Genomic DNA, 12,286 nt, shown 5'->3' with positions numbered 1-12,286 from the left:
ATAAAATAAAATCACTTTGATAATAGCCAATTATAGAAAAAAAATAAAACACTGAAATAATTTTATACATTTTTTTCTGGAAGGCAATAAAAATGTTTATCTAGACAATGTATACTGCATTCCTCTGCAAGACATAATCAATGTTCATTTAATAGTCTAGAGATTCTTCTGAGAGATGTTCAGTTTTTTGCAATTTTGCATATCTTCATGGGGACTTGTTGGTTTTGGTAACCTGTAGTCATAATCTTTAGGATTAACTGTATAATTTCAAGAATTATTCAAAATAATAGTCTTTTTTATATTTCCAGTTTGATCAAGACTGTAGATTTATTTATGTTTTCATTGAATTACATCAGGACAGAAGTTAATAACTTTTTCTTGGAAGACATTGGAAACTGTAGATGGATATTTAGCACCTAGTAATAGTCTCTCATGATGCATGAATCTGTTACAACAACCTCTCTGCATGTAACAATGGCATGATCTATTGGAGATATTTACAAATTAGTACTACATTCAATTGGTATGTAGAAGCACTGACTGTACAAATAATACATTTTTTGTCTCCATATATTATCATCTGTAATCATTTTGCAGACAAGTAAAAATGTTCTATCCAAATTTAATTTAAATTGCAACTTCATCCAAGTGCCACCAATGGAGATACCTCACATTGATGGCCAAGTGAATGGACGGCTCCCACGCCCAGATGAAAACAATGTCCCAGCAATGACAGGTCTGCCAGGACCTATCTTCTCCAATGACAGCTGTGGAGAGCACATGGTTTCTGACATTGACTATAAACCATGACTTGATTTCAGAGGCGTTAAAATATGAAGAAACCACATATTTAAAAATGATAGATGTGGTGAGAGAGGTCAGTGAGACAACCAGTTGCAAAGTATATACAGACAAATCAGTTTTTCTACATGTCAGCAATAAAAAATCATTATATTTTCCTTTGGTGTAGTTAGAAGATGTAGTGGAAATGATTATACTGTTGTAATATTTATGCTATGATAACAATCGCCTCACAATCACAAAAGTGCTTTGCAGTAAATTTACCAAGCAGCTTTCTAACATAAAAAGAGGGGCATCCCCTGAATTTTTCCCCTTTGTCAGGAACTGTGCTAAATGCTCCACAGAGATCATCTCAATTAATCCTAATGAGAACCCATGCAGGAGATGCACCACCTATGAGAAATGATAAAACTGAGGCTTAGAAAGAAGTTAATAAGCTGTGAAAATCATATATTCATGGAAAAGAAAAGACTGCCTTTGTTTTTTTGTTTTTGTTTTTTTTTTTTTTTTGTCAAGTGAAAGCACTCAAGTCTGTTTCTCTTTAATTCTGAAGTTCAAGCAAATTCTCCATAATTATATTGTTTCAATAAAGTATTTCATCTCAGAAAAAGTTGCCAGAAGAAGTTTCTTCAAAAGTTAACAGTCCGGGCACAGTGGCTCACGTCTGTAATCCCAGCACTTTGGGAGGGTGAGGTGGAGGGATCACCTGAGATCAGGAGTTTGAGACCAGCCTGGCCCACATGGTGAAACCCTATCTCTATGAAAAATACAAAAATTAGCCAGGCATGGTGGTGCACACCTGTAATCCCAGATGCTCCAGAGGCTGAGGCAGGAGAATTGCTTGAACCTGGGAGGCGGAGGTGGCAGTGAGCTGAGATCGCGCCACTGCACTCCAGCCTGGGCCACAAAGTGAGACTCTGTCTCAAAAAAAAAAAAAAAAAAGAAAGAAAAGAAAAGAAAAAGAAAAAAAGATAAAAAAAGTTAACAGAGGACCCTATTACTTGCTGGAAATGTTATTTTCAAATTTGGTTGAACTTTCTTAGCCATTACAGGAAAAAAGATTAAAGAAATCAAGTTTTGTTTTAATATTTTTCAAATACTTCTCTGAAACATGGTGAAACTGTTAGAACTTTATGAGACCATAAATCAGGATCAAAAGCCAATAAAGACCTTTTACATTTTTCTGTCTTCAAAATTAGGAGGGTTCCAGTTGCATCTTAAGAAATAATCTGAATTGGTTCATCATTCCATCATCTTTATGGCTAAATGTAACCAAGGCAAACAAAACACCACAATGTGGCACATATCCAGTGAAACTGCAGGCTTCAATGAGGATAATGCATCAATATCAAAACACAGAAAACTGATGAGGGGATGGCATAAAAATGGAACTCCCTAAAGTTAAATGGAAGAAGTTCCAGGGATCCCCTGAACTTTGTATTTTTAGTTTGAATGAGAAATCCCATTAAACTCTTGATGTTGTCATAATTGATTTTCTACGTTTTGTTTCTCAATTTCAGTCTATTCTCAAAATGTGGGATATTGGATTACATGTTTACCGACCGAGTTTGAATGCAAAACTATGTAGAAGAAAAACACCATTGAATTAGGAATCTGATAAGCAGCGGACATCATACATTGAGTGGTTTGAGAAACAAGGAAGTGCTTTCACTCTGTTACCTACCTGCTAGAGTCATTGCAGATCTTATCCAGTTAAATTGCTGCCAAAATTGCCACTTTCTCACACTATCAGCTGCCACTTTTGGCAATTACTGGAGTGATGATAAGTCTATAACTTCCTATAGAACTAGGATTCACCATAACCAGAACATCAACATCACCTTTAAAAACAAATTAAAATCGTCACACAACAAACTCCGAAGCTGGTTCTGTGAAAGGTGTCCTGGAGGTAGAACGTCCATGCTGTTCTCCTGTCCTCACAGCCTGCCTCTCAGGACTCCGTCTAATGCTGCTTGTTGTTACAGCCTAACAAGGAGAGTCTCTTGGGAATCAGCGAAAGCTCAAGGTTTGCATGTGACCAGCTCAATGACAGTGAACTGGGAAACCATTGGCGAAGGCACCCATGGGATACGGCACCCTGCAGAGACGAAGGCAAAAATGGAAACTGTCATCGATATTACAGAGGTGCTGTCTGACAGCCCTGGTATGTCATCATCATCTGGGTGTCCCCACCGCTGAACACAGGGTGAGATTCCCATGCCTTACTAAGGACTTCCTTTTTCTATGAACCTGGTGGGTTGCGATTCAGTCTCTAGGGGACAGGTGTCCATAGTACCAAAATACTGTCCTTATAACCACTGTTGAATTCCTCTGAGACAGGATTTCTGAGGCTGAGACCACTTTTCCAATAATCAGTCTATCTGAAACTAATGCAACTAATCAATTTCTTGCTTATACACAGGATTTTAAACGTCTTCCAGAATAGAAACAAGTGTCATTTATTCATTCGGTGAATATTTATGAGGCTCCTACTGTATGCCAAGCATCATCCTAGGCACTTTGGATTCCACTGGAGAACAAGATAGACAAAGATCTCTGCTCTTGTCGAATTGACTTTCTGGTAAGGTAGAAACAGAAAACAATCAATAAACACAATAAACAAGTAAATCATACAATATGTGAGAAGGTGATAAGTGCTAAGGCAAAAAAAAAAAAAGAGGAAAATAAATAAAGGTGGAAAAGAGGACTTAGAAATGTGAGAGCTTGATTCCTTGGAGATAGCAATACATAAGTAGGGTCTGAAGGGTAGAGCTTCCATTTCTGAGAGCATAACCTTCAGGCAAACCATCAAGATTTTAAATTCAATGGAATGCGAAGTTAAAATTTGACTGTATTCACCTCCTATGCCCAACCTCTGCATCCGACCTCAGGGAAATGCCAACTTCATTCTCATTGCATAAACAAGCAAAGAAGATAGAATTCTATTCAATCTCAAGGGGGATCTGCTCTGTTGCCTTCATATTTTTCTTATAAGGCAACAGGCTTATGTCATTTGAAAGAAATAGAAATTTAGACAATACACCACTGTAACAATCACTGAGATGGTAACTGCCCTTGGAGGAAAAATGAATGAGGACAAAAGCAGGGATTCCACTTGGAGGTCATGGGGCAGGTTTTCATGTTTGTCATAGGGCTGACTTTTCACACTGAGCCTCCAAATAAAAGTGGATTTGTATTTAAGAGAAAGTAAAAAAAGTAATGTTTCTTTCAGTGAATCTTGCACACATTCACACAATAGTTATATGCATATATGTATGTATGTGTATATATATATTTTTTTTTTAAATGGAGGGCACACCAAAATTTTATAAGAGAGTAATGGTAGGGTATATACATATATATGTGTGTGTGCGTGTGTGTGTGTATATATATATATTCAGGACTGTATATGCATATTCAGGACTATATACATATATTCAGGGCTATATATATATCTATATATTCAGGACATATATATATATAGTCCTGAAATAAATGAAATTTATCCCTTGGAATTAAAAAAACCTTAATAGAGGTGATGGTGGGGCATGTTTGACCATAGATTGAAGGAAATAGGCTGACAGGACAATCCGATGGGGCCAGGATTCTGCACGTCAGAATAAAGAACTACTCACTTATTTCACAGCTGACAAACTGAGGCCCTCAGTTCTTGCCTGAGCCCAACCTACACAAGGTCCCACATGGCATAAGCTGAGAGCTGTGAGGCAGTCGGGTGGTTCTTGAGCTTCCTGAACGGCATTGCTGGGTCAGCTCGTCACACTTTGAACCAACTGGTAATGAGACAATGAGCCCAGTGGACCTGGGAAATCTGTTACCGAGAACACAATGGGCAGCAGGAGCTTCCTGCTCAACACTGATTCTCCCGGTCCCTAATCCCGATGAGAGGGTGCAGAGGCAGGGGCAGAAAGAGGCTGCACACAGGTTGTAGCCCCGCCGAGGACAACCCCATCTGACATGGGCTCTGGTCACCCTGCCATCCTCCCCTCCATGGAGAGATGCTACCTGTAGCACACGGAGATGTAAGCACATCTTTTCTGGGAAGGAGAGGAGGTCTTTGTCTATGCTATTTAACATTTAAATAAATCTAAGCAAATTGCTGTTAATGTCTAGATAGGAAGACGTGAAAGATTTGTCAATAATGGTCTCTCAAAAAATACATCCCGGATTCCCACCCCTGACAGGTTGCTGGCAAATGTTCCCACTTGGTCAGCCACTCAATCAATCTGACCAACAATGTGTGAATATGTACACCACCATTCATTTATCCATCCATCCACTGATGGACACAGGTCAATTCCATATCTTGGCTACTGTGAACAGCGCTGCAATGAACATGGAAGTGCAGGTATCTCTTTGACCTACTGATTTCCTTTGGGTATATACCAAGAAGTGGGATTGCTGGCAAATTTTTTGAGGAACTGGATGTGGTTTTCCATAATGGGTGTATGTACAACTTGAATATATTCAATCTTTATTTGTAAATACAATCTTTAAACAGAGCAGGGCCAAATCCACTTGGTTTGCCTCATTTAGCACTTAAGTAAAGCATAATCAACAAAATTGCAACAGGATTGAAAAAGTTGTAGATATTCAGGTTAATAGATGTACATTGTGTAGAATATAACAAAAGCTGAAAAATTTTGTCGAGCTGAACTGATATTTTACTTTGCATGGGGGATGTATTTTTTAATCGATTCTACTTATTTAAAATTGAAATGTTTATGAAACTGCACTTTGCACATATTTCACAACTTTATATGGATTATCACAGCCTATTTATAGGGAGATTTCTTACATTAAATGTTTCTAGGCTGGCTGTGAGGAAGACTGAGAGATCTACAAATTCAATCTACATATTCATTCCAGTGGTATTTATTAAGTGTTTGCAATGTGCTAAGTACATTATAAATCATGTGAAGTCCTCCAAGCCCTAACCTAGTGAGCCTTTATATGCAGACACAAAGGCAACGAGTGGAAATAATGCAACATGTTATAACACTGACAATCGCACCTAGAAAACCTCACACAAATGGGACCTTTGTCTCTATCTTTATCATTCCTTACCGGAAAGTTGTTGTTATCCATATCTTTAAGTTCAGCTATTTTTATTAAATGCAAATCTTAGCCTATCCCACTTAGAAATTATTTGAATGGCTGTTCATGACTTTGAGAATCAAGTTCAAGTTTCTTCCCATGGTGGAATGAGTCATTCCATGTTTCTCCTCATCCCCATTTCCATTCATTTCTCCATTTCTGGAAATGCGATGTGCTATTTCATGCCTCTGGGCTTTGCAAATGCTTTCGTCTGCCCAGAATACTATTTCCTCCTTAAAGGCTAATGGGATTCTTTTTCTCACTCTTAAGACACTTTAAATGTCATTGTCTTTGATTCTTCCAGGCCTTTTTGAGATTGTGTCTTTTCTTGCTCGTTGTACCTTAAATTTGCTTATAGATTGTACATAAATCAATGAATTATAGCTATTTTTCCAATTTGATTATTGTGGTAAAATATGTATAACATAAATGTATATCTTAACCATTTTAAGTGTGTAGTTCAGTGTTATTAAATGCCTTCATAATATTGTGCAACTACCAACACCATCTATCTCCATAACTCTTTCCATCTTGCTGAATCAAAGTTCTATATGCATTACGTGACGACTTTCTCTTCTGCTTTCTATTTCAATGATTTTGACTACTCCAAGTATCTCATGTAAATGGAATCCTCAGCATTTGTCTTTTTGTGAATGGCTTACTTTACTTAGCATAATGTCATCAAGATTCATCCATGCTGTAACATATGTATGAATTTTCTTCCTTTTTAGGATGAATAATATTTTATTGTATAAATAGACCACAGTTTGCTTATCAATTCATAAGTGAATAGATATTTGGGTTGTTTCCATTTTAGCTATTTTGAAGAGTACTATGAAAATGACTATACAAGTATATCTTCAAGATCCTACTTTATTTAATTGATTTATTTACTTAGAGACAGGGTCTTGCTCTGTGCCCAGGCTGGAGTGCAGTGGTGCAATCATAGCTCAATGCAGCCTTAAACTCCTCGCTCAAGGGATCCTCTAACCTCAACCTCCCTAAGTGCTGGGATAACAGATGTGAGAAACCATGCCCTGCCAAGAGCCTGCTTTTAGTTCTGTTGGGAATAAACCTATAGGCAGAATTGCTAGATCACAGGGTAATTCTACTTTCAGCTTTTTAAGGAACCGCCATGCTGTCCTCCACAGCGGCTGCACCATTTTCCATTCCCATGGACAGTGCACAAGAGCTCCAATGTCTCCACATCTTCACCAACACATTTTGATTTCTGGTGTTTTGATAGCAGCCATCCCAATGGGTGTAGGGTGGCATCTCATGGTAGTTTTGATTTGAGTTCCCTAATGATTAGTGAGGTTGAGCATCTTTTTAGGTGGCTTTTTGCTGTTAGTGTATCTTCTTTGGAGAAATTCAAATATCTCTGTCAGTTTTTGAATTAGGTGATTTGTTGTTTTTAAGTTATAGCTATTTTTAAAGGTACTTTAAAAATAAAGTGTAAGCTTATTGAATGCAGGAAGCATAATTTATCTGTATGCATATCTCAGTAACTAACACAGTACTGGGTACGTAGTAGCTAATCCATTAATATTTATTAAAAGAACAAATAAATGAATGCACATGCAGGATTGCAGTAGTATTTGAGTAAGAGACCCCATTGTTTTCTGTTGTAAAAAACAGACCACTGCCCAGGTTTTCCCCTAAATCCAGCCTTCCTTTCTCCTATAGGGAAGGGATTTTTGTGAGAGGCCTGATCCCCCAGCTGTAGACGAAACTTCCACCCTCTGCTCAGTGGAGACAAAGCTTCCACCCTCCGCTCAGTGGAGGTACCTTCGTAATGAGGTTTGGGTCAGAGAATGTAAATGGATAAAGTCTGTGAAATGTCAAGGTCATCCTCAACACAGAGGCAAACCACTTGGCTGAAATAATGCTCTTTCCCTTTTCTGCCGCCTGGACCTCCAGCAAGCTAATGACTCATATTTGATAGATGCCACAAAGCAACTGGGTAAAAAAGCAGGAGTCCTAGTGTAGATGTGTGGGGCAGGACCCACACCTGTGGCATCAGCCCCTTCCATAGGATTAGAAAGGAGAAAGACGCTCTGTTTTTTCTAAGACACTGGATCTGAGGTCTCCTCCTTCTCACCTGATACAGAAGAAATAGTCTCCACAATACATGCCTCATTTTTTTTTTTTGGCAGAGTATTGCTCTGTTGCCCAGGCTGGAGTACAGTGGTGAGATCCCAGCTCACTGCAACCTCCACCTCCCGAGTTCAAGCAATTCTCTTGCCTCAGCCTCCCAAGTGGCTGGGATTACAGGCGTGCACCACCACACCCAGCTAATTTTTGTATTTTCAGTAGAGATGGGGTCTCAGCATGTTGGCCAGGCTGGTCTCAAACTCCTGACCTCAAGCAATCCACCCGCCTCAGCCTCCCAAAGTGCTGGGATTACAGGCGTGAGCCACCATGCCCAGCTGTGCCTCAAATTTTTATCTAACTTTCATTAGAATGCTTCCAGTAATGTTTCCTATCTCACGTGATAGCCTGTTCTAATGTTGGAAAATAAATATCAGGGTCTGTTTATATCTAAATTATACATCCTTATAATTTCCACTGGTTGGTCCAGTCACAGAGCCTGAAGCTCCCTGGCTCATATGGCAGAGCCACACTCATTACATGAAGAGCACTGTCATCATCCTGGTAGCCTATGCTCTTCTAGACCATAAAATCACGGACTCTGAGCCATTTCTCCCATTATGACTTTCCCAGATAATTTTTATGTTTTCACCAGCATTTTTCAAGATTTTGTGTGTTTCAAAAAAGGCTACTTCCTGAAACTGATTTAATTGGGGCATGAACCATGCCTAGAAACTGATAGTACCATATATCGGTAGAACGTCTTACATTTTTTTATTCATTCAAGAAAAACGTATGGGATGTTTATTAAACGGTGGGCATTCCTTTGGGTGCTGGAGATGACTGGGACAATTCCTGCCTCCCAGAAGCTCGTCAGCCACAAAGAGAGTAATTTTTCTTCAAAAACACTAGAACTGATCAATCTGTCTCTGGCCCTGCAGAACAATAGTCAAAAAGGAAGTTTTCTCTGCCCATAAATATCAACAAAACTCAGCTTTCACAGCCTAAATGTCTTCCAAATATGTTTCTCCATTGTGCTAAAATTGACTTTTTTCAAAGACCAAAATATAGCAAGATGATTGTATTTAAAAAAAATCTTTCCAAGTCTATGGCCATCAAATGTCCTTTACGTTTCTCTACATTTGAAGGGATCAAAGGTCATTTACAAATAAACACACGTCTCATGGCCATGTCTCTACAATTTTCTCTGCTGAAATCTCCATTCTCTCAAGTTAAGGTATATGTGTGTGTCTATAAGTTTGTACATAAAAATACAAATATGCACACATATATACACGCATGTATATGTATAAACAATATTTATATATATTTATATGCATAGAAGGAAATCAAGCATTTAAAAATAAATTAAATCTTAGAAATCATCCAAGAATTTCAAGACAAAGACTTCTGAAAATGGCTGGACACCTACCTATGAGGCCACTGTAAATTTTGATATATACCATTACAGAACTAATAACAGGATATGGAGTAAACTGAAACATGGAGGATCATGCCAGTCCAATATTGATAGATGTCTTTTAAAATTGTGCCTGTAATCCTAGAATTTATGCTCACAAGGAAAACGACAATTCAAATAAAGAACTATATGCTATAGTATTCTGCTTTCTAGTCATACAATGTGTGCATACGTGCTGGGTGCATCCAATCCAGTGTGTTCCCCAGTTCAGTTTTTCAAAAAGCCTGACCTAGTGGCTGTGTCAGAGGGCCTTCTGAAAGATCTCCTCCAATGAGTATTGTAGCTCAATATTCAGACAGATCATCACCAAGAAAATGATCTAGTCCATGAATGGTTCTATGCTTCGTGGACAGCAGTTAGTCCCAGCTTATCATTGGGTTATGTTCTAATAGTTCACCTTTAAGTAGTTACTTTTTTTCCTTTCAATTTTATTTACACATGCAGGTGTGTTACATGGGTGTATTGTATGATGCTGAGATTTCGGATACAGATCCTGTGACCCAGGTAGTGAGCACTTTACCCAACAGGTAGTTTTTCAGCCCATGCCTCTCTCCCTCCCTCTCTCCCCTACTAGTCCCTGGTGTCTACTGTTCCCATCTTTATGTCCAAATACCTCATGTTTTCACTTATAATTCATTTCTTTTTATTTTGTGGTGTGAAAATTGCTATACTGAAAGGTTTATTGAACTCATAATTTTCTGGATTGTGGCACAAATATTTTAATGCCATGTATCGCATGCTTCCTCTAGAAAACAAGCCTAAAACACAGTGACAAAACCTTCTCAGTAGTTGAGCCCCAACGGGGGAGGGAGGAAGCAGTGGAGGAGTAGAGGGGCCTCCGGGAACCCAGTGGTCTGCAGGAACTAAACGTTCTTTCTTAGGTCCCTCCAGGCACTGTGCTTTTCTGAATCTCACACTAAAGGGCAATTATTAACTTCTTGGAGGTTGACCACCCCCAGATTCAGACGCTTTGTCTGCTGTGCCCAGGAAAGAAGATAAGTCCCATCCCAAGAGTTCGTAAGAGGGATGCCCAAGGAAAGCACACAACACGCCCACAGGGTCTTCTGGCCTCTTCAATTTAGATTGACTGGAATATTTAGTGAATTAATACAATTTTAATTTTATTCTGCAAGAAAATTGCTTAGAATTCTGGTTACTGGGAGAGGTAATTCACATAAAGAAATTAAGCCTTTTTTTTGAGATGGAGTTTTGCTCTTTTTGCCCAGGCTGGAGTGCACCAGGCTGGAATGCAATGGCGTGATCTTGGCTCACGGCAACCTCCACCTCCCGGATTCAAGCGATTCTCCTGTCTCAGCCTCCCGAGTAGCTGGGATTACAGCCATTGCGCCAACATGCTTGGCTAATTTTGTGTTTTTAGTAGAGACGGGGTTTCTTCATGTTGGTCAGGCTGGTCTCCAACTCCCGACCTCAGATGATCCACCCGCCCCTGCCTCTCAAAGTGCTGGGATTACAGGCGTGAGCCACCTCACTCGGCCAAAATTAAGGCATTTTGCGCAGAAAAGATCGAGATCCCAAAGGCTTCCTTGAGAATTCAGACTTAAGGAAACTCCCTGAGGTGGACAGATTTGGCTCACACAAAGGCCGAGGTGGAGCAAAAGCATCTGAAATGGAGTCACAGTTGGGGTGGAAAGAAACAGGACCCAGTGAGTAGGGCCTCACCCTAAGCCTGAAGGTTGAAGTAGGATGGCTTTGGGTCCGTGGTGTGGGCGTGCTGGAGCCTCTCTCAACCTGGGTATCCAGCCCCGTGTCCTGGGGACAGTGGCTGTGGGAGAAGATTTGAAGTGCACCTGAGCTCATTTCGGGCATGAAAATATCCTTGACAAAGTAAAACAGTGACTTTGTTCAGGACCAGTTCTGCACCAGTGTCAGTGACAGACCAGAGTAAAAACCTCAGCAGAATTTGGGAATCTGGTGCCCTGCACCTGATGAGCAGCTGTAGGTGGTGTATCCACAGCCCAGAGGCTCCTTAGCCAGGCTTGGAGTCAGCTACAGAACCAGGTCTCTGCCCTGCAGCATCCTACTGAGAGGCCTCACGTGTTTCTTGGGACTGATGAAGTCCTCCAGCCTCATGGGGTATGTCTGCTTTCCAGCTCCCTGTGAACGTGCACGAGAGGCAACCTCAGGACTTCATGAGGGTCTCGCGGGAGTAGAACCTGGAGAGGAAAGAAGAGCATTCTCCGGAAAAATGAGAGGAGGCAATGGGGATGTGTGTGTCCTTATTGGTGCGTCCAGGCTAATACATGGGATTATTAGCTGCATGACCCAAGTATACTTTTAATTAATGCCAAACACAAATTATTAAGTTACTTTTAACCTTTTAATAAAATGCTTAACCAATAAATTAATTGATAGAAAAAAAGAGTCTGAAAAACAAAACACCCATTAAATCCAAATAAAGCAATTAACTGATTCTTTCACTGACTCTTATTTTGTCACCATATACAGATGTTCTAAGACGCAGATCCCACTCAAATCTCTAAATATGCTTCTACTGGTTTAAGAGAAATATTACTTATTTTAATTAAGATTTTTTAAATATAAGGTCACACACCCTGCCCTTTGCCATCGTTTCAGAATGATTTATTTGTGTTTCTGTCTGAGTATCGGTGAGCAGTGCTTGCTAACACCTTACATTTTTCTGTACCCCTGAATATTCAAACACCAAAAGCCTTGTAGAGACATCCAAGTGCACTAGGGGATGTCTTCATTTTATTGGTCTATAAAATGACAGACAATATATCAATCTGGAAAATGACTTCCACTGTTGGATTTCACAAG

The 12,286-nt window shown here is 39.6% G+C and overlaps 1 annotated feature.

Annotated features, from left to right (window-relative positions):
• Window positions 2,403-3,602: an enhancer, noted in NCBI's record as "BRD4-independent group 4 enhancer chr10:4140042-4141241 (GRCh37/hg19 assembly coordinates)". NCBI's record gives its function as "activates an origin of replication core promoter dependent on BRD2, P300/CBP, MED14 and CDK7 cofactors, and independent of BRD4, by STARR-seq in HCT116 cells {active_cell/tissue: HCT116}" and the evidence as "EXISTENCE:reporter gene assay evidence [ECO:0000049][PMID:35650434]".

Source organism: Homo sapiens, chromosome 10 (assembly GCF_000001405.40).
Source record: "Homo sapiens chromosome 10, GRCh38.p14 Primary Assembly".
Lineage (NCBI taxonomy): Eukaryota > Metazoa > Chordata > Mammalia > Primates > Hominidae > Homo > Homo sapiens.
This window is presented reverse-complemented; position numbering and strand designations above follow the sequence as displayed.